Source organism: Homo sapiens, chromosome X (assembly GCF_000001405.40).
Source record: "Homo sapiens chromosome X, GRCh38.p14 Primary Assembly".
In the NCBI taxonomy this organism is placed as follows: Eukaryota; Metazoa; Chordata; class Mammalia; order Primates; family Hominidae; genus Homo; species Homo sapiens.
This window is the reverse complement of record NC_000023.11, coordinates 38,416,691-38,440,968: the sequence shown is the minus strand read 5'-3', so window position 1 is coordinate 38,440,968 and position 24,278 is coordinate 38,416,691. Positions and strand designations below refer to the sequence as shown.

Sequence of the window (24,278 nt, the reverse complement as noted above, 5' to 3'; positions counted from 1 at the left end):
TTACCATCATTTTTGTTTTGAAAGGTGCTCTGTGAAATTTAAGAGGAAAAAGTACTCTCATAGACATCATTATGAACACCTCTTTGTGAATGAAGACTTGGAAAACATCCAACTCAATTACTGCTGGAGCTGCGGTTGACCAACTAGAGACAGAAGCTATTGTTATTTCCATGTCAAATGGCTTGCTTCTGTCTCCAGTGAGAACCATTACTCTCCATATGCTAGTAGCAAAACAATTTAGGAAATATTTTTAGATTTATTAATATATAATATGGTAGATGAGAGCCAGATTATAGTGCGATGGAGTCAAACTTCTTGACATGAAAGTTTCTGGCAATTCCCCCTCCCCATTCCCTCGAAAATGGACTGTTTTCTTGCTATTTCTTTTTCTGCCCAGCAAGGAGGGACTTCTGATGACAGACTTGTTTGAGAGCTTCTATGCTGGAGAATCAGAAGAAAATGGTGAAGCAGGGTGTGTGATCAAGAGTTGCATGGAATCCTGATTTGCCTAGATCCATGCAAGCATGGGTTGCTGATGTCAACTTCAATTTTAGTTATGTGAAATGTACTCCTTTGAAAGATAACACTATGTGAGGGATGGTTTTATAACAGTAATATTGTTGCCTTTAAACTAGTAACATTAACTAGCAACGTTTTACCTTGTCGTTTTCCTCCCTCAAAGTACTCAATGTTTGAAGCTAGATCTTCAAAATCTGTCAGAGCTACTTTTTTTTTGATGAATGCAAAACCAACATGGATAATGCTGAAAGAATCCCATGAGTCATAGATTTTAACACTATTTTTGGCTCTTATAATATTGACTCAATTAAAATTTGGGCATTTTCCCCTTTATAAGAACCTATGAAATGAGGAAGAGATAATCAATATAATCTCAGTTTTACAAACAGATAAATTTAGATGCAAGAGATTAGATACTTGATCTAGAGTCACTTGGTGAATTGGGTCTCCTGATAAATTAAATTACAAAACTGGCATGGACTCACAGAACTTTTTGTCCCAAAGAGAATGTCTAGATGATTTTGACAATTGGAACAGCTACAGACAAGAATGAAGAGAAGCTTCAATCAGCTACTGATGTTCCAGCAGGCTCCTCATCCTAATATCCTGCCATGAACACCAGCATGCTCCACAGAGACATTACTCTTGAAGAAGGATCATTTGGGACTTTTTGCGCTTTGAACAAGGCTTCACTCCACCTATATCCCAGACCCCCACCTCCAGCTTCTCCTCTGCTCACATATTACCCAAGAAATGTCATACTCTTCACTACTTTAAGTTGGACTCACAACTGGGGGGATTTGGGACAATGCATTTTTATAAATAAAATTTTTATTCTATACAGTATGTTTTGAGGGGAAAAGACCCAGGAAATATTACCAGGACAAAAATGGGACAGAAAGAGGACAGAGTATGAATTTTGCTTGAGTTTATTTTTTATTATGCCATGAAATAGAAAGCTTGGAACTATTCTTGATGGCATACCCATGAATAAATGGGTCAAGGAGGAGCACTCTGAATCAGTCCTGTCACTAATCAGAGAAGGGGAAGTTGCCAGGCTCTGAAATACTTCCCCATGGGCAACAGATCTATTAGGTAGATATCGTCCCTCTCCCTGCTGGCAGAACACGATTAATATCATGGGAAAAGCTCAAGGATGATTAGGAAGCACACATTTTATTTTTAAAAAGCCTAACTGTCTAAAACCTGAAATGTATGTATTTAATTTTCTCCAGAAATGGTTTGCAATCATCTTCCCTTGTCACTGCATTTTTCAGGATAGAGAAAGCTCATGCCTTTGTGTTTGTGGTACACTTCAAGTTCTTGGAGTGACTAATAGCACTGCATTCTTGGATGATTCAGGTAGGACATTTAGTATTGTTAATGTATTATTTTAATAAGTAAATTTAAGGCAGACTATTTCTCCAACTTAATTGCCTTTGTGAAATTCCACTGAGTCTTCCTAGTTTATATAATAAGGCTGACTCTGTTGGAAGGGTGACCTGCCTGCCTGGCCAGAGGGAAGATAAATCGCTTTTTGGCCTAAACTTACTGCCATCATTGATTTATTTTCTCAGATGCTTCAGCACAATCTTACTTACCTAGATCAAGGATACTGCAAGAAAGAAAGCATTGATCTGGGTCAAGAATGGCTCCATATCGTGTTTCTGGTTTTTCTAAGGCAGGAATGCAAACTCAGCATCTGGCAAATGGGTTGTATACAACCTTTTTTAGGTCATAAACCTTTTGAATATCTGATGAAAGCTGTGTTGATCCAGGTCCTCTGAGATGGGATTAACTGTGCAAGAGAGTCATTGAGGGAAAGACCTGTGACGGAAAATGGTGAGAGAGAGGTGGTTAGGAGTGCCATCCGATTCTTAGGGTAGGCTAGGAGTGCCATCAGACTGAGAAGGAGATTCTGACCCCCGGTGGAGGAGAGATGAAATGAAGGTAGGCTAGGTGGAAGTGCCTTAGACTTTAATGCATGTCTAAGAAACTTTTGGCAAAGCTGATAAGGAGTCCTCAGGCCACAGGGGCAGGTCAGAGGAGTCCTGCATCTCCCATTGAGGCACCTGCCCTAGTGTCCCTGCCGCACTTACTCACGGCTGAGAGCAGCTGGTGGGGGGCATGGCTTCAATGAGCTGACGGATTTCAGAGCAGCAGTAGGTCAATTATAATCCTGATAGTCGGGTCTGAGAGGGACATTCTCATGGCTGGCACAGTCTCCTTGCACTGCACAGATCTACTTTGCCACACAAGGTCAGGGAGCAGATCCTTCATGGTTTCCATGAACCTCTTTTTCTGAGGAAAAAACTTAGTAAACGAAGGTTAATAAGACGAATTACAACCCCTGTTCTGCAGCAGGTCTTGGGGCTGCCTCTTCCTCAACTGTCACCTGTGCAGGTTTTACTGGCTTTCCCTGATGGTTTAATCCAAATCTTCTTTCCTGAGATGTCTGAGCCCTTGGGAATCATACGCTTCTGAAGTTGCAGTCACCACACTTGCCCATTCAAAGTCATAAATGGGCAAGAGAGTACCTGGAGGCACAAAAGTGTATTATCTGGGCAACACACACACATTCCTCCATGCTCCCATTGTATAAAAACAGCCCTACTTCCTCCTGATGATTGGCATCAATTATTGCCATAATTGTGACCCCTCTTCTTGCCTTCTGGCCCCTGGACACAAGTAGTTCTAAGTGTCCTGGTGGCAGCCATAGCTTAGAGTTCCATGGGACCCTTCCTACATCCCTTGGCAAGAATGTGCCCTCTTTGAGGAACATAACCACCAACTCTGCAGAACCCAGAGTTGATGGGACAGGAAGCACAAAGTCCTCCAATGGTAAGTGAGGCCACTCATGCTTCCACCCTTTGTCCTCTGGATCTATGTATTTTTTCCTACTGCGAACACAGCACCAGATAAAAGTCTCATATTTAATACATACACTGTGTCCTGAAGGATGATGCCTCCTTCTTTCAGAGTGTTGCTTTCAAAGCAACAATTTAGTTACCCCTTTCAAAGACCATTCCAGCATTGGTTGAGGCCAGCTGCCTCTGGACACTGTGGTACCTGATATGACCAGTGAATCTCATTATCATGGGGTCATTCTCACCCCTCCTTTGCAGTAACATGAGTCTTCTGGTCAGATGTTATGTGGCATGGGATTCCATGCTTATGAATCAGGACTTTCATAATCCCTCGATAGTGATGCTGGCTGAGATTCTGCAGGAAGGAACAGCAAACCTATGCCTAGAATGGTTATCTATCCCTGTGAGGACAAACTGCTGGCCCTTGCAGAATGGAAGGCGCCCAGTGTTTTTGACTTGACAACTGACCAAGGGATAGTGTCATATCTGGGAGCTCAGTATGGGTCTCTTGTTGACAGGTTGGATGTTCAGAGGCAGCATTAACTAGATCAATCTTGGTAAATGGGATTCCGTGTTGTTGGCCTACATCTCTGCCAAAATGACCCCTCCATGTAGATGCCATGGTGCCAATTCTGGGCTGGATGATGAGAAAGGCTGGCTAATATCAACTGGCTGAGTCATTTTGTCTGCTTGTGTGGCAGATATATTCTGGTGGATATTTATGTGTGATACAAAGATCTTCATACTTTGTACCCACTCCCATATGTCCATCTACATACCCCTACCCAAGCATCCCTGGTCTCTGATCTAGTCTTCATTTCTAGGCTTCTGACTAGGTGGACAGACCATTGGCCACTGCCTGTGAATCCGTATATATTATTATTTCAGGCTACTTCTCCTTCCACAGAAAGTAGATGACCAGATGTACCACTTCAGCTTCCCATTAGTAGATTTTCCCTCTCACTGTCTTTCAGGGCCACTCCTGAATGTGGTTGCAATGAAGCCATCGTTCATGTTTAGCTTTCAGTCACATAAAAAGCAGACTCATCTGTAAACCAAGAAAGAGGTTTATTCTCCTTCAGCTATTTATATATGAACTCTCCTTCATATGGCTACAGGTGCAAACCAGGGAAGGAGAACTGGTGCATCATTTATGGATGACATGGGGGTCTGAGCTACCTGCTCATGCAATTTACTTGTGTTCTTGAGTCTTGCTTGGACTCCTTCCTAGATGTACCATTTCCATAGTATGATGGATTGATGGTAGGTCTATCCGACTTTATGACTTGGGTGGGTCAGAAAGAACCCAACTCATAATGAGTAGTTCTGGCTGCATGGCCACTTGACACCCATGGTCAAGTGTTTTGTCTTTATTGGGGCCCAGTAACATGCCGGGACCTGTTTTTCAAAAGGCATAATGTTTTTTGCTGTGGATGGCAGGTCCTTGCTCCAGACTCCTAGGACCTACATTGTTTTGCTCCCACTGGAGCTTGCCATAAACTCCACATGGTATCTTTTTCCACCACTAACACCTGTAATATCATATGGTTTGCTGGATTGTATGGCCCAAGTGGCAAGATTGCCTGTACCATAACCTGGATCTGCTGCAGATTATATTCCTGCTCAGGATCCTACTCAAAGCCAGCAGCCTTGCATGCCACCTTGTATACAGGCTAGAGGAATATTCATAGGGGTGGAATGTGCTGCTTCTAGAACCCAAAGAGACCTACCAGGTGCTGGACTTCGTTCTCTACAGTAGCGCATGTAAGATACAGCACTGTGGTTTACTTTAAAAGTTGTATCCAAGCATGATTCTGACCACTGAACTCCTCTATTGGGACATTTTCCCAGGTCACTACCAGCGAAATCTTTAGCAATAGAGCTACCACTTTGTGCTAGGGACTAACTAAACCCCACCTGTTAACCAGGACAACTCCTGGTACCACTTGTATAGTCCAGCTCCACCAAGAAGTAGATACCACATGGGATTAGTCATGGAAGAGATGTATTAAGGACAGTGCCTGTGAGGGAAAATTGGGAGGGAACCAGGGAAGGCTCAAAGCAGATCTGACCCTGGGTGAAGGACAGAGAGAAGGGAGGAAGGAAGGATGAGAGGAAGGTTGAGTGGATGCATCTTAGACTGAAGTACAGTTCTGAGGGAGTTCAGCAAGGCTATCAGGGAGCCCTTGAGCCAGAGTTGCCATCAGAGGAGTCCTGCGTCATTGTCTTGGAGCAAGCTGTGGGAAGTGTGGCCTTGGCATCAACTCAGTAATGGATTTCACAGTGCTGGAGCCATCAGTCAATATGCTCTTGGCAGTAGATCTGAGAGGTGCATATTCATGGCTTCCCAAAAAGCTCTGATTCCCATCACAGAAAAAAATACTAATATACACATAAAATGCTGTGTATAATTTTATGCAGTTAATTGATCCACTCAGGTATATTCATTGCCTCTCATGGGTGGTTAAGAAAACCTGTTTTCAGAGTTCATTGTTGATCTCACTTAGCAAGAATAGATTTCTGTGAGCTTTTATCTGAAGGATATGCAACACATCAAAAATCACTATAAATTGCTGCTATGATTTGAATGTGTGTGTCCCTCCAAAATTCATGTGTTGGAACTTAAACCCCAAAGTGATGGTTTTAGAAGGTGGGGACTTTAGGCAGTCATTAGGTCATGAGGGCTTCTTCATTGTGAATGGGATTAATGCCTTTTTAAAGAGGCTTTACACAGCGTTCATCCCCTTTTGCCCTTCTGCCTTCTGCCAAGTGAGTACATAGCAACAAAGCACCATCTTGAAAGCAGAGACAAAGCCTTCACCAGACACTGAATCTGCTGGCACTTTGTTACTGGACTTCCTGCTTCCAGAACTGTGAGAAATAAATTTCTGTTATTTACAAATTACCCAGTCTCTGATATTTTGTTACAGCAGCAAGAATAAACAAAGACAACTTCTTGAGGAGATATATAGCCTCTTCATTTATAAAAAGGGACCATATACTCTTAATATAATGTAAAGTACTGTATGAATTGTAGATAATCTGAATTTGTCAAATGGGTATCAAATAAAGATACTAGCCAAAATTATCCCATGTTAGAGATAGCTTTAGCAGTAGGAGTGAGAAGTAGCAATGTCTTTTCAATCTCTTGTTTTCCTCCTTTCCCCATCTTTCCCCTGGTCTTTCAATCTTGAACCCCTCTCTTTTCTCGTAGTTTGGCAGAGCAGAAATTTGGTGAATCTACCAATTGCAGAAGGTTCAGACCCTCATTCTAATAAAGAAGGTGCCCAATTTCTTTAATCAAATACGATGATTTAAAAATGTAATTCCTCTTTGATAGGCAGTTCAGTTGAAGCGATGCAGTAGAATACATTTCCAAATCCAGACTAAAGATGATCTTGGGCAACTCATTTATTTCCTTTGCTTTGGATTTCCTTACCTTTCTTAATGTTTACAAATATACAGTTATTTATTTACTTATAATTTTAATTGAGATAAAATTTAAATACTCCCCACTGCACAAATACTAAGGCAACAGCTCAATACATCCTTACAAACAGTTATGTAACCACCAACCAGATCAAGTTAAATTACTGGGTCATAGGACATATGGATGTTAGCTTTGCTAGATACTGCTAAATAGTTCTACAATGTGGTTGTACCAGTTTATAGTCCCACCAGCAAGGTATAAGAATTTTAGGGCCAGGCACGGGGCTCAAGCCTGTAATCCCAGCATTTTGGGAGGCTGAGGCGGGCGGATCATGAGGTCAGGAGATCGAGACCATCCTAGCTAACATGGTGAAACCCCATCTCTACTAAAAATACAAAAAAAAATTAGCCGGGTGTGGTGGCAGGCGATTGTGGTCCCAGCTACTTGGGAGGCTGAGGTGGGAGAATGGCGTGAACCTGGGAGGCGGAGCTTGCAGTGAGCAGAGATCAGCGCCACTGCACTCCAGCCTGGGTAACAGAGCGAGACTCTGTTTCAAAAAAAAAAAAAAAAAAAAAGAATTTTAGCTGTTCCATATCTTATCCTTACATACACTAGGAACTGCAATGCCTTTACATTTTAGCAATTCTGGTGGGGATTTCCCACTTTTAAGTGAGACTAACTGAGCTACTATCACTCTATATCACTCTGAGAGCCTCTTAGAAAGCTTGGGATTGTTTTATCCTGCTAGATACACAGAGTTGTGATGTGGATTCATTTTATTGACTACATGTTAAAGTATTCTCAGTTCTTTGGAAGAGAGCTTATAGAAATAACCAAAAAAAGGAGGGGGTATGGCTTTAACACTACAAAGGCCCTCAGAAAAAAAACACTGGAAGTGATTCCTGGAAACTGGAAGTTGTATCTATGGCCAAAATTGAAGTGGTATGAGGAGGGACATGGCCTCTTCAGAGACCAGAGAAGGGGTCAGGTCCAGAGAAAAGAATGGGCTGTGTATTTTATTATTGTAAATAACTGTCTGCTCTTACTTAAACATGTATAACTTCTTCCCAAGGCATTTAAATAATTTAATTATCAAAGAACTTGGGTTGTGTTGGGTCAGCAAAACAGATGTTTATAGCCGTAAGTTTCAGCTGAGATTTTCCTAATAAAAGGGGAAGGAGAGGGAAGCCATAAATAATCGTAACTAAGTAGTTACTCTTCTTCATTCTACTCTCAGACTCATGAGCAGCAAATAGGTTTGTTTGATGTCTTAGAATGTAAATCAAATTTGAAGACAAGAAGTATAGATTCAGTATCTTCTTTAATCCTTTCTTTCCCTTAGCTACTCTCCCCCTATCAAACTGCCTTGATTTGTCTATGAGCGTTCTATTTCCAAAAGTACAAAAATAAAATGAACAAACATTTATTAATTGCTTTCCTTATGCTAGGCAAGGGGCTAGGAACTCTTGCATCTATTATCATATTGATACTTCACAGTAAGTATCTTGCTTAAGTTCTTCTCATCTCTGTGAAGCTAAGATGTTATATTTTATTAACTCTGCTTTAAAGATAGAACTATTAAGGGAAAGAGGCCAAGTGGCCTGCTTTTATACATCTCATGATAATTTTTTTTCAGACCTGGGGCCTCACTCTGTCACATAGGCTGGAGTGCAGTGGCACAACCATGGCTCACTGCAGCTCCAACTTCCTGGGCTCAAGCCATCCTTCCACCTTAGTCTCCTGAGTAGCTAGGACTACAGGCACATGCCACAACTACTGGCTTTTTGTTGTTGTTGTTGTTGCTATGTTGCTCAGGCTGGTCTTGAACTCCTGCTCTCAAGCAATCCTCCCGCCTAGGCCTCCCAAAATGCTGGGATTACAGGATGAGCCACTGCAGCCTACCACGATAATTTCAAGTTCAAATTGATTATTCTTTTCTTTGACTTTTAGATTCAACTGCCAAGTCCTGACAGTTTTCTCTTGGCTCAAATCTTCCGTTTTCATGACTACTGCCCTTGTTCAGGGAACAAACTAGCCAGGAGACTAGTTTCCTAAGTAAATCTACACAACACCACCAGATTAATCTTGAGGAAGCACTGCTTTCATTATATCCCTCTTTAATGTCAAAATGTTCAATGTTCCCCAGTGCCTGCAGGAAAAATTCCAAACTTAGTACCTTATTAATGAAGGTGCTCCTCACTTTCGTGCTAACATACTAAAGACTTCCACAAACAAATCCTCCACTTCAAATCATGTGGACTACTCACTGACCATCAACATCCTCATCTCACACATTTACTAACAGTCATGCCAACTGGAATGCCCTTCTTTTTCTTTGCCCATCCAAATGTTGCCAGTCCTTCAATGATCAAGTTACATCCATCCACTGACCTGAAGGGGTTCCTTATCAGTCTTGCAGGTGGCATTTTCTCACTCCTCTTAGGTCTTTTGGCATTTCATAATTGTATAAAACAGAACAAATATTTACAGAGTGGCAACAGAATGCAAGGTGATATGGTAAATTTGAAAATAAATGATATACTCCTTGAACAGAAAGTGCCCAAAATGTGAGATAACAGTAAAAATGGAAAGTTTGAATAGGAAATACGAGATATGTCACTAACATTTTTGAGCACGTGCTATGTAGCAGGCCATACTCTAAATATTTCCCTGGACTTGCACATACATTTCTATAAGTAGTCATTATTACTATCCTCTGTTTACAGATGAGAAGTCTGAGGCTATAGGACTCAGCCAAGGTCATCCAGCTAAGAGGACCAGTAGGATTGGAATAGCTGATATTCTCATCCTTCAGGCTAATCAAACTAAAAAAAGAAAAGGAGACAAAATTAACATAGAGAGTTTATTTGGGCAAAGATTGAGGATTGCAGCCCAGGACACACTTCCAAGTTGCCTTGGGGAATGCTCCATTTGGGCCTTTTTGTTACAAGATTTTTAAAGGCAAAAGGGGACAAAGAGTTTTCTGATACAAAGTTGTTTGACAGGAATTCTCACTGGTTTACCGGAACAAGATTGGTTAGAGGTTGGTTATGCATTGCTAAACTATGGCTATGAATTATGGTGTCTAGCATATGGCATTTCATAGCTACTTGGCTTCAGTTAGTCTAGAGCCCATATAGCAAGTGCCCTCAAGATGTAATTATTTAGCTCAAGTGGGAGTGAGATTTCACTGCTGTTGCATTTTAACACCTCTCTGGGCCTGATAATTGAAGAGGGCTTGCATTCGTCAGACAAAAAGTTTCTTTTCCTTCTCAAGGTCATCCTGCACTTAAGATGGGATCCCAAGTTCCAATTCTTCCAGGAGAAAAAAAGACTAGGAGGATGGAATGCATTGAAAGACTAATAGGGAGGTGAATACAGAGAAGCAGAGGAAGGCAACAATTAACAATGGAGAAATGAAGAGATAGAGTGAAGCATGAACCGGTAAAATGGAGCTCAGAATCCTGGAGCTAGTTCTGCCAATATTGATTGTCCTCCCAGGTACCTATTTTATAAACAGATGTGTTGTACAAACTCAAGGTTGTCTTCACAGAACACTTTTGATGGATACGTTGTGTCAGTGGCTTCCCATTGAACATAAAATAAAAACCAAACTTCTTATCTTAGCCTCAAAGGCCAATATGGACTGATCCCTGCTGAACTTTTCAGATGTGTCTTGTGCTCCTCTCTCTCTTGCTCACCATACTGTAGCTATACTCTCTTCTTCCAGTCCCATGAAGAAGACAAGCCCTCTTTCATCTCAGGGCCAACCTATGTACTATTCCCTCTAGCTGAAATATTCTTCCCCTCCATTATTCACTTAATTATGTGGAAATCAGAAATTAAATACCTTGATTTCTTTTACTGGCCTTAAAGAAATGTAATTTTTACAATTATATTTAATGAAAAGCCTTGAGGGGAGACAATCTTATTAGCATAAGCACTTTGAGAATTAATTCAAAGTGTCATGCTGGTTGTTAACTTCTCAGCAAGACAACGAAGAGAGTTTCAGAGAACTCAGAATTTATCGTTCAGTGACTATGTAAAACGACATTGTCAGAAAAAGAGCCAATTGCAGTGAAAGGTTTTAAAGGTAAGGATATGTGATCTGTCCCTTGTTAATGGGATAAGTCTTTCAGAGAGATGTTCCATGACATGGTTAGTAAATACAAAATATCTAGTGTAACCACTCTTGCTCATAAAACACGTTTGTTATAGGAATCCCTCTAGTCATTCACTTAAGTGATCAAATGTATTTGTAATAAGAAATAGAAAGGGGTTAATTAAGATATAAATAAACTTCTCAGCCCTACAGCTGAAGCACTGGCATCACCTCAGACAAATCTGATCCAAATCCAATGAAAAGCCTGTTTTTCCCAATTATTCTCATCAGTCAGGACTCAGTTTAAGGTCACCTTCTTTGAGAGGCTTGCTCTGGGAACTATATTTAAAGCAGTACTACTTGAAATTTGGAAAATCATTTGGTAAAAATACAGAGGCCCAGGCTTTCCTTACTTTGATTAAGCCAGGACAATTGTATTCTTTATTAGCTCTCCAGTTAATTCTGACACCCATAAAAGTTTGAGAACTACCAATCCAAATGTTTATCCTTCCTTTCATCCCTTTATTTTCTATTATAGCATCCAATTTGTTTCCCACACAGCTCTTATCACAATATCTATTTACATGTGGTTGTCAGTCTCCCCTACTAAACTATAAGCACCATGAGGGCAGTGATCATGTCTTTCTTGTCAATTACTGTATCCCCAGAACTTAACACAATGCTTGGCACACACTTGGGGCTCTAAAAATAGACAGCTTTGTATGCATAGAATTTTTTTTAAAAACTTCAATGTAAATTGTATTCATAGTACAGTCAAGACTTGTTTTATAATAGTAAATCATAAACTTTTTATTTTCTACCAGAATCTTTTTGAGGGAATGCTAATAAATATTACAGATAAAACCAGAATGAGAGCTGGGCCTGGTGGCTCACGCTTGTAATCCCAGCACTTTGGGAGACTGAAGCAGGTGGATTACTTGAGGTCAGGAGTTCGAGACCAGTCTGGCCAACATGGCAAAACCCTGTCTCTACTAAAAATGCAAAAATTAGCCAGGCGTGGCGGCAGGCACCTGTAATCCCAGCTACTCAGGAGGCTGAGGCAGGAGAATCACTTGAACCAGGGAGGCAGACATTGTAGTGAGCCAAAATCACACCACTGCACTCCTGTCTGGGAGACGGAGCAAGACTCCGTCTCAAAAAAAAAAAAAAAATCAGAATGGGGTCAGTTGTTCTTGTTTAATCAAAAACGTTTGTTCTTGTTTAATCAAAAATGGTTGTTCCAAAAATGGAAGCCAGAGTTCTGCCTTCTTGGCCTCTCTTAGATCTCTGAAGGCAGTATAGGGCCATGCTTTACAAAGGGTGTTCCCTGGAACAGCAGCATCAGCAGATGATGCAAAAGAAATGGTGAGAAAAATTGCTGACACCTTAGCACAAATCAAAGCAGTAGAACCAAAAATCATTGTGTTCTTCACTATCGCACAGAGGCACTTAACAAAAAAGCCAAGTTCACTTAAGAATGTCTTCAATGGCCAGGGGCAGTGGCTCACGCCTGTAATCCCAGCACTTTGGGAGGCCAAATCAGTCCAGTCACTTGAGGCCAGGAGTTCGGGACCAGTCTGGCCAACATGGTGAAACCTCGTCTCTACTAAAAATACAAAAATTAGCTGGGCATGGTGGCGGGTGCCTGTAATCCCAGCTACTCGGGAGGCTGTGGCATGAGAATCACTTGAACCTGGGAGGCAGAGGCTGCAGTGAGCTGAGATCACACCACTGCACTCCAGCCTGGGTGACAGAGCGAGACTCTGTCTCAAAAAAAAAAAAAAGTATTTGATGAAACAGTAAAAATTGTTAATATTGAATTTCATGAGGACACATCTTTTTAATATTCTGTGTGATGAAATGGGAGGTGAGCATTAAGTCCTTCTGTGGCATAATGAAGTATGATGGTTGTCTTGAAGAAAAGCACTTTTGCAATTCTTTGAATTGTGCTTTAACTAGCCACCTTTTACATGGGACACCAGTTTTACTTGGGAAAAAAGCAACTGACAAAATGGTCATTGAAACTTGGATATTTGGCAGACATCTTGAAAATGAACAAAGTGTAGCTGTCACTTTAAGGAAAGCAGTTGGCATTATTTCTTGTCAAAGACAAAATTTGAGCATTCAAGAGAAAACTAGAATTGTGTAAAATGTGTATCTACTTCTCAATGCTTAAAGATTTTTCTAATGAGATCAGCAGTGCTATTAACAAATATGATTTTCTGATTTTATATAATGAAATGTGCCAATATTTGGAAGATCTGTATAACTCAGTGAACTAATATTTTCCAAATGATCAATGTGGAATCATGTGTGAGTAAAAGGTCCATTCAAAGGGCAAGATAGACATGAAATTGAATGTAACGGTGTAGAAAAGTTAATTTATATGGTTTCAGATTCCACATTGCAACTAATCTTTAAGGAGTTATAATCAGTTGTGGAGTTTTAGTGTAACAACAAAAGATATCCACAATTAGCTGCAAAGACTATTAAAATAGTCATTTTTTCCAAAAACATATAATGTAAGGTGAGATATAAAACAAGGTTGGCCACTCCATTGATTAACTTAATTTTGTTGTGGAAAATGTAGTTATTTCTCATAAAATATGTTCCTTATGTTAACCTGTAATATGTTTATTATTGTTATAATAAATGAATCAATAAATAAATATTTCTAAAATTTCTGTTTTACTTTCTAGTGTGGCTTATACCGATATATCCCACATAAATAAAAGCTTTTTAAGATCTTCATAATTTATAAGAGCATAAAGAGTTTCTGAGTCCAAAACTTTTGAGAACTGCTGCCTTAAGAACAGTGTGAAAACTTCCTCTTTTGAGCAGTGCTATTCTCAGACAAAGATGGATAATAAACCTTGATGAGTCCTTCCTAATCTTTTTCCTCTTTTGCCAGCTAGACCTCAAGTCCAGCAATTACTAAATGCCCCTGATTTATTTCACATAAATATATATTCCTGTGATGCCTTTCTAAGCAGAATTTAGTCACCTTGATTGGATTTTCAGACTTGTTGGCCTCCATGATTCCATTTGGCAATGAGCCAAGTCACTCCCCTGAGTTGCATATTTACAAACCAGCTCCTAGACAGAAATGACTAAATAAAGTGTCAGCTGCTGGGCTCTGCCAATTTCAGAAGACAAGCTCATTCCTTGTACTTTTTTTATACCAAATATTCCACTCAATATCTTTCTGATGATGGGATATAAATTTTTACAAAGGGCTAAAGAAAAAATAGTGTTAAAAACAATTGAAAAAATAAAAGGGGGCTAATATTTGTTGAGCATTTGCTCTAAGCCAAATACTATTATATATGTCACTGCATTTAATTCTCCCAACAACTCCATGAGATGAGCATTACTCTCATTTTACAGATCAGAAGAGCAGGGTTGGATAACTGTTACACAGTAGAGGAAGGATGAAACTCAGGCCTCAGTGACTCCAAAGAAAGAGCAATAGTCAGACAATCTGGGTTGTGTCACATACTTTATAGTGGTATTTTACAGATATGGGGGTGAAAACCCTTCATATAAGCCTTCAGAATTGTCTCAGACCAGTGATCTCAGTGTGGTCCCTGGACCAGCAGCATCAGCATCCCCAAGAACTTGTTAAAGTACAGATTCTTAGGCCTCACTTCAAATCTGCTAAATCAGATACTTTGCAGGTGGGGCCCAGTAATCTGTGTATTATCAAGCCCTCCAGGGGATTCTGATGCACACTTAAGTTGGAGAACCACGAAAACAAGCTTGTGCTTGTCCAACCCGTGGCCCATGGGCTGCATGCGGCCCAGGACAGCTTTGAATGCAGCCCAACACAAATTCGTAAACTTTCTTAAAACATTATGAGATTTTTTTGCAATTTTTTATTGTTAGCTCCTCAGTTACCATTAGTATTAGTGTATTTTATGTGTGGCCCAAGATAATTCTTCCAATGTGGCCCAGAGAAGCCAAAAGATTGGACACTCTTGCACTAAAGTATGCCAACACAGCCTCAGGAAGCTAGGGCAAGGAGCAGACCAACTGAACAGCTACTGGGGTTGCCAATCTATAAGGGTACTAAAATGCCACAGAAATTAATCAGAAATATTGTGGCAGTTAACTTAAATCTCCTCTTCTCTGGGGAAAGTAAATTGGTCTCATTCCTATTCCATGCAGGTAATAAATTTCCTGTTTTGAATTTGAGTATGTGACAGAAAAATAGTATTTGTTATTTTTAATATTCTGCTGTCTTCTACAAAAGGTTGATCCTGGTAACTGGAAAAGTTTTTGCTTGCTGAACATGAGCTCTTCCACATTTGTCTAATAGCCTCTTAGCTCTCTACTCCTCCTTGACGCCTGAAGGATGAGCAGTACAGACCCACAAAAAATCTTATTCATGGATCATCTTAGATTTTATTCCCTAAAACGTAGCCTGAGATGGGGATTCTTGTGCCAGTGATTTATTGAGGACACACTCTCAGCAGAAGGGAATCAGGTTGAGGTGTCAGAGAGGGGTGGGGCGGGTGTGTGGAGGGAAGCTAAGCAAGGACGTGGTCTCAAATGGTTACTAGTTTCAGCCTGATCCCACCCACGTGGAGTTCTGGGGCTGAAATTTCACCCACACACCTGGTCCTGCCTGGAGGGAAGGGAGCCAAGTTTTTATATCCCTATATCAGTCACTCATTGACTGTAGGCTACTAGTGGCCAGGTTAGGGTGAGAGTCTGACATCCTGGGCTAACAGTAGTTCCTGGTGGCTGAGAGCAGCACTTCAAAGAAAGAGGCAGCTGTGAGACATCAGCACGCAACCCTGTCAGCAGCTGGGGGATGGACGAACCCAGGTGAAAGGCATCTGGATGGGGCATCACCAGCATCTACTACATGGATGTAATTTTAGGTTTCTGTTTGTATCTCTGGATATCAGTGTCCACCTCTGCCTAAGGTGTGAATTTTCCTCTCTATCCCTCGGCCTTATAGAGCCATATCCCTGGACCAGCCAGCTTCCCGTTCCCCATTCAGCCTATGGGTAAATCAAATCAAGCAGCTATATGTGTAGGATCCCAGATCATTTGCAGAGGGGCATTTAACACATGAATTATCCCTCTCTATTGAATATATTTCTATACTAGGAACACTGTTGTTATTTCCTAGTTTTTTTTCTCTTGTGAAATGAAGGGATAGACTGGATTTTTTAAAACTCTGTTCCAGTTTGAAAATTCATTTGCCTAATGATTTTGCTCCAGAAGGCAGTCGTGCTTGCATTTTCTCTGGGGATGAGTTTCACAAAAGTGTGTATTAGAGACTAAGTCTACTGTCATGGACATAAGTGAGGCATTAATAAGACTGTGAAATGTTTTAGCACATGTCAGGGAATTCAATTCCATTTTATCTGACCATGATTCTTTTATCAATGAATGATTTTAATTTTTCTGAATAATTATTAGGGAAGAATTTCTTTAAAATATTAAATAACTACAGGGTTGATTCTCAAATACTTGTTTCAATGATTCGTGTCACGTGTTTGCCACACAAAATGGACAGACACTATCATTTTCACTATGGCATCTTAAGGAACCTAGCAGAAACTGAGGCAAGACACCAAAACTATCAGTGCATTGCATGTGTCTCATTGCCCTCAAGTACAAGGTGATACTGAAATGTAAGTTGTTGATGGCAGGGTCTCCCCTACTAGACACTGATCCTTTGTATGGTTTAAAGCAAAGCACCTATTCGGGTATATGAAATACTAAAAAGTGCCCCCTCTCCATGGACAACATACAAAAAAGGTTTTCCTTCCTCCTGGCTACACAAGACTTGGTAACTGAAGTGCAGACTGGGTCTCAACCTTTATTCATTTCTTTCACCTGAGACCTTTACACAAACCACAACCTGCAAGGCAGTATGTGGCATTCTTGGTTATAGGAGTCTGATCATTGTGACTTGAGTGGTTTTCTGTTATTTAATATGTCCTTTATATTTGTCAAAGGATATCAACCCTACAAAATTGCCGAGCGGTACCATGTCTCAGATATGCCTCAATCATCTCCATGTAAGACATCGATGAGAGCTTCCAAGACAAAAAGGCTCAAAAGGAATGTGTTCTGAATACTTTTTTCATATGCAGTCCTCACTCATCTTTATCACATGAGAAGACTTGCTATGGAACTTTGGCACTGGACCAAGGGGCCTCTGACATTTTAACTGAGGTTCTAGGGTCACTTGTATAGGAGATCTACAATGGCATTGCCATGCTGATTCTCTGTGGAGATCTTTCTACCCAGGGACATTACCAAAGTCAAGTAATTAGCACAATATCCAGATAGAAATATCTGATATTGAGGCCAGTTATGGTGGCCCACGCCTGTAATCCCAAGCACTTTGGGAGGTCGAGGTGAGTGGATCACTTGAGCTCAGGAGTTTGAGACCAGCTTGGCTAACATGGTGAAACCCTGTCTCTACTAAAAATACAAAAATTAGCTGGGCATGGTGGTGCGGGCCTGTAGTCCCAGCTACTCGGGAGGCTGAGGCAGGAGAATTCTTTGAACTCGGGAGGCAGAGGCTGCAGTGAGCTGAGAACATACCACTGCACTCCAGCCTGGGTGACAAAGTGAGACCCTGTTTCAAAAAAAAAAAAAAGAAAGAAAAGAAAAAATGAGAAATATCTGACATTAATTTTTTTTTTCTTTTGACGGAGTCTCGCTCTGTCACCTAGGCTGGAGGGCAGTGGTGTGATCTCAGCTCACTGCAGCTTTCGCCTCTGGGGTTCAAGCAATTCTCCCACCTCAGCCTCCCGAGTAGCTGGGATTACAGGTGCCCACCACCACACCCAGCTAATTTTGGTACTTTTTTAGTAGAGACGGGGAGTTTCACCATGTTGGCCAGGGTGGTCTTGAACTCCTGACCTCGGGTGATCTGCCCACCTCGGGCTCCCAAAGTGCCAGAATTACAGGCATGAGCCACCATGCCCAGCCCAGACACTGAATTACTTTTCTAAAGTACCTGGAAACTTATCACTGAAAACAAAAACAAAAACTGATGACATTGAAATCATTGCAGTGTAATCACTTGTGGTGTCTACTCCCAATGTTATTGTGGAGAAATCCTGGAAGAAAAGAGCTCTTTGGCTAGTTATATTAGGTGACAGGATTTATTATGTACACCAAAGATGCAAGCGTCATTTCTAGAATTTTCGTTAAACTTCGGAGTTGTAATAGCTATATAGGAAAAGGGGTAAGAAGAAAGAGGAGATGAAAACAGCTTTGCAAAAGTTAAGGGTGAATTTTCCTCCCCTATTTTCTTTTTTCCTGACAATATAAATAATGTCTGATTAAGATGAAAAGTTAAGAAAGCAAATACATTCCTACAGAATTGGGCTGAGAATGAGGTTAAATTGTATGTACACAATAAAGAAAGCTATAGAGCTTTTTGAGGAAAAAATGACTATATTTTGGCAAGAAAATTATTACAAGTTCTTTCCAAGTGAGGGAAGAAGACTATACCATCCATTTAGTTCAAAGAATAACCAGGAATGAGATGGGAGCTCGTTACTATGGCAGACCATTTGGCAAGTGGAAGAACACTTCTTTCTATGTAGGCAATTTGAGGGTGAGCCTTCCACAATCCATATGACACCTTGTTCTACTCTCTGCTGAAAGATATTCCACTAAACTCCACTCTCTTTCTAAGTGCTTCCAATAAATTACTATGGACACAAAAGTCACCTTTGACATTTACTGGAAAATTTGATGTTTTTTTCTGTAACATTATGAGCCTCTTTCCCCCACAAAAAATGTTTTATTGCACCTTCATTGCAAATCTAATTTGTAATTCATCCCTTGCTTACTCATTTAAGTCAGAGCTGTGTGCTGAAGAATATCAGTCAACCAGCCTGGAAACATTTTTCTAATAGTAAATGTAGAATGTAAAGGAAATTACATTATTTTGTCTTCTGTAAAATGTATAATTTTTTAAAAAAACTTCACTTATGTTATTTAACATTTTAACTAAAAAATTCAAATTATATCATAATAATTCAACAATACAAATGTTAGTCACCCGCAAGAGAAATCTAGTTGTAATTACATTATAATAATTCAATAATGTAAATTTTTATTACCCCAAAGAAAAATTAGAGGAAAAAGATTGGCTAAAATGTTGCAAGTAGTAGATTTATGGAAATATTCAGCATATGGTGTGAGTAGATGCATGATAAGCACAGATGTGAAAAAAATTAAATTATTCTTGTTGGAGAATTTGAACCTAAGAAAATGCTACTCTAGGTATCCATGCTTTTACCACTTGCTAACAAAAGCTTCTTATGGCTTGTAACAGTAAGTACTCATTACAGAGAAGAGATACATGCTCTTGGAGGATTCCCCACTACCACATTCTCACAAGTTATTGGAAAAAACTTTGGAGTTTGGGCACAGTAATAGCTATATTTTAAGAATTTCGTTATTTGCCTCCATAAATGAATGCCTGTCTACCTCATTGGCCTGAAAATTGTACCACATCTGCAAGATGAATCATTTGGCTTTCTAGTTGGTCCTGGGGGACAGGAACACAGCCCACAGATTTACCAGTAGCTGACTGCCTGGTAAATGTTTACTTATAAATTAGCATGGGTGATAATTTATTTAGGTAATAAGCATAGATTACACTTAATGGCTTAGACATTATACATTATGAACACAGTATTTTATGTTGAAGTAAATGTATATGATAATTAATATGATATCTAAATGTAACTCAGAAATTGGGAATTAGAGAGTTTAAGCAAAGTTAAGCACGTATTACAGTGCATCAGCACTTAAATTAAAGGCTTAAGGAAAGTTTCACAATGGCAAAGCATATCATACGGTTCACCCATACCACGTGTTAGGGATTTGTTTATTTTTTAGATTCTCTTCTCTTTTCCCCATAAACCAACTCATTCTGTTACTGAAGAACATTGCTTCTTTCTTGACAAGTAACACAACATCAAAATTTAGGCTTCTGGAGCTGAGGTGAGTAATCTGTCAGCAGGGACACCATGACAGCCTGATGACACAACAAAGAAAGAAAGAAATGGATAAACATTAGCGACAGTCTGCTTAGGGACCTAGAGAAGGTGAATTAGGTTTCAGCTTTGCAGGGTTACAGTTAAAATGTGTTTTCTCAAGAAAATGGTAAGAGAACAGTTCTGAACTAATATTTATTTATTTATTGGAGGAGGGTATAAATGAAAGTCAACAGAGATCAGACTGATCTAGACACACAAACACTGCATAATTAGGCCTCATTCCAGGACTAGTGGGTCACAGAGTTGAAATGAGATGCTACAGTGGTAGCCACGACTGAATTTTCCAGTCATAAGTATAGTATTGGCTAGTTTTAGAGAAATATCATCTCTCCTATTCCAGATCCTTGTGTTTATACCGTGGTTTGATCTCTCGCAGCCTAGAGAAGTTTAGGATGAATCAGATGTAGAGTAATCTGAGCAATGTCTGCTCTCTGAAGCTGGGTATTCCTGAAAGAGTATTATCTCTATAGCCAAGAGTATACCGCTTCCCCTTGATCTGTCAATCACAAATGGTAATTTTCACTTTTACTTTTCTCAATCTCCACAAGAATGACAATAATAATATCAGAAACTATGGTGAATGTTAACTGAGTGCTTACTAGGTATTAGATAGAATACTAAGTACCATATCATGTATTGGTCAAGAAATATTTTTCAAGCACTGTGCCAGGAGCTTTGGTGAGCTAGAGGAAAATGTTCATGCATTATCTCATTTAATACAACAAAATTCTAAGGTAGCTTTTATTATTATCATTTATAGTTGAGGAAATCAATCCTTGAGATGACAGATAGTGCAGAACTGGGTTGGAACCCTGGTTTTCTCTGACTCTACTCTTTTTAAAAATTATTATTTTTGATTGATAAATTATAATTGTATACATTTATGGAGTACAGCATGATGTTTTGATATATGTATACAATGTGCAATGATTAAATCAAGCTAATGAACATATCCATCACCTTACTTACCTATCTTTTTTATGGAGAGACATTTGACATTTCTTCTCTAAGTTATTTTGAGATATATATTATTATTGACTATAATCATTCTGCTGTATAATAGATCTCAAAACCTATTCTCCCTGTCTACCTGAAACTTTGTACCCTTTGATCAACAACTCCCCATTGCCTTCCTTCCCATCCCCCATCCTCTGGTAATCATCATTCTACTCTCTACTTCTATGAGTTCAACTTTTTTAGAGTCCACATATAAGTGAGATCATGTAGTATTTGTCTTTCTGTGCCTGGGTTATTTTACTTAGCATAATGTCCACCAAAAAACTGTTAGAACTGGTAAGGGAATTCAGTAAAATTGCAGAAAATGAAATCGACATACATAAATCAGTAACATTTCTAATATACTAATAATGAACTATCTGAAAAGAAAATTAAGAAAATAATCACATTTGCAACAGCAACAAAAAATTACTTAGGTATAAATTGTATCAAGAAGGTAAAAGACCTGTTTACTGAAAACTATAAAACACTGATGAAAGAAAATAAAGAAGACACAAATAAATGGAATGATATCCCATGTTCATGGATTGAAAGAATTAATGTAAAAATGTCCACACCACCCAAAGTGATCTACAGATTCAATGCAACCCCTATCAAAATTCCAATGTCATTTTTCACATAAATCAAAAATACAATCCTTAAGTTTGTAGGGAACCACAAAGAACCCACATAGATAAAGCAATCTTGAACAAAAGGAAGAAAGCTGGCAGCATCACACTCCTTGATTTTAAAACATATTATAAAGACATTTTAATAAAAACCACACGGTACTGTCATAAAAACAGACACATTAACCAACAAAACAGTAAGGAAAGCCCAGAAATGAACCCATGCATTTATGGTCAATTGCTTTTTGACAGAGGTGCCAAGAACACATAATGGGGAAAGGACAGTCTCTTCAGCAAATGGTGTTGAGAAAACTGGATATCCACATGCAGAAAAATAAAATTGGACCCTTGTCTCACACCATATAAAAATCAACTCAAAATGGATTAAAGACTTAAATATAAGCTCTGAAGCTGTAACACTACTAAAAGAAAACATAGGGAAAAAGCTCTGTCTTAGTCCTTTTTCACGCTGCTGATAAAGACATACCCGAGACTGGGAAATTTATAAAGAAAAAGAGGTTTAATGGACTCACAGTTCCAATGGCTAGGGAGGCCTCACAATCATTGCACAAGGCAAAAGGCATGCCTCACATGGTGGCAGGCAAGAGAGAGAATGAGAACCAAGCAACAGGGCTTTTCCCTTATAAAACCATCAGATCTCGTGAGACTTATTCAGTACCATAAGAACAGTATGGGGGAAACTGCCCCTGTGATTCAATTATCTCCCACCAGTCCCTCCCACAACATGTGGGAATTATGGGAGCTACAATCCAATATGAGATTTGGGTGGGGACACAGCCAAACCATATCAAGCTCTATGACATGAGTCTTGTAATTGTTCACATATGACCCTGAAAACACAAGTGATAGAAACAAACATAGACAAATCAAATTGCATCAAAGCTTCTGCACAGCAAAAGAAACAATTAATAAAGTGAAGAGACAATCCACAGAATGGGACAAAATATTTGTAAACCATACATCTGTTAAGGGATTAATATCCAAAATATATAAGGAACTCAAACAACTAAAGAGAAAGAAAACAACCTGATTAAAAAATGGGCAAAGGACCTGAACAGGCATTTTTCCAAAGAAGACATACAAATCATCAAGTTCATGAAAAAATGCTGAGTATCATTAATCATTAGGGCAATGCAAATTAAACCACAATGAGATATCACCACACACCTATTAGAGTGGCTTTTATTTTTAAAAAAATGAAAGATAAGTGTTGACAGGAATGCAGAGAGGGGGGGATCTCCTGTGCATTGTTGGTGGGAATCTAAATTAGTACAGCCTTTATAAAAAATGATATAGAGATTCCTCAAAAAACTAAAACTAGAACTCCCATATGATCCAGCAGTCCCATTTCCTAGTATGTATCCAAAGGAACTGAAACCAATCTGGTGCAGGGATATCTGCACTTCCATGTTCACTGCAGCATTATTTACAATAGCTAAGATATGGAATCAACCTAAGTGTCCATCAATGGATGAATGGATAGAGAAAATGTGGTGTATATATCCAATGGAATAGTATTCAGCCTTAAAAAAGGAAATCCTGTCATTTGTGACAACATGGGTGAATCTGGATGACTCTACTCTTAAAAGGTAGTTTTGTGGTCTCTCAGGTCCTTGTTCTTACACTTCAACCACACTGTACATGTGTTCCTAGCCTATATCAAAAGTGCAGGTCTTATATTTCAAAAGTGTTAACTGAATATACTTATCAAAGTTATCACATGCCAGGCCCGGTGCTGAGTGCTGTATGTACATCATACCATTTAATATCCTTTCCTACTGTATGAGATGGTAAGAGATGTAAAATACAGATCGAGAAACTGAGATGTAGGAAGTTTCCTGAGTGGTGATGGTGAGAGGTGGATCTGCACCTACCTGTCCCTGGGTCCTGACTACAATGCTCACATGACTCTGATCTCATTGAATCCTCATAACCTTAAGAGGTTGGTTCTATTTTTTATCCTCATTTTTCATATGAATAAACTGGTCTTAGTGAAGTTAAGGTACTTGCCTAAGTTGATTAGGAGCCCAAGATCACAGAGAGAGCCAGAATTTTAACCTGATTTCCAAAACTTATGTTCTAAAACCAATTCCCTATATTGCCTTTAGGCTGCAAAAATGTATTGAGTCCATATTTAAAGTATGTGTCAGGCAAACTTCTAGGTATAATAAAGAACGTTACAGACAGGTTTACTGCCTTCATAAAGAAGTTTTCATTATAGTAGGGGGACAGGCAACAAACAGACAAAAAAATATAAAAATATCAAGTAGTGCCATTAGAAAATAAAATGTAAAAAGGAGATAAAGGAGCCTTGGGAACCACTTAAGAGTGGGTGGTGTGGGAAGATCTTGCTCAACAGTAACATTTAAGGTGATGTCTGAATGACAAGAAGGAACTAGTTTAGCCAGGGCAAACTTTGGCATAAGAATGTCTACCAGGTAAAAGACACTGTAAACTTCTTAATGGGTTCCTGGGAGCCCCTCTCATTTTTGCTTTGTTTTTAATTGTCTATGGATTGTGTCAACCTTATTTCCAAATAAAAACTTACAAATTCAACTTGGATTAGGATTGTCAGATTCAGTTAAATAAACACGGACAAACAGTTAAATAAGAATTTCAGATAACAACAAATATATATTTTACTGTATGTTCTAAATAGTACAT

The 24,278-nt window shown here is 39.3% G+C and overlaps 1 protein-coding gene across 2 annotated transcripts in view; it reads right to left on the bottom strand.

The window, feature by feature from the left end:
* OTC (ornithine transcarbamylase) overlaps window positions 18,041–24,278 on the bottom strand; it is a 95,245-nt gene continuing 89,007 nt past the window's right edge. Inside the window, exon 12 of one of the 2 annotated variants that reach the window (NM_001407092.1) lies at window positions 18,041–19,946. In NM_001407092.1, the coding sequence (NP_001394021.1) occupies window positions 19,887–19,946 (60 nt within the window). In that variant the 3' untranslated portion in view covers window positions 18,041–19,886. The remainder of the gene's footprint in view (window positions 19,947–24,278) is intronic. The other variant, NM_000531.6, reaches the window with a different exon arrangement.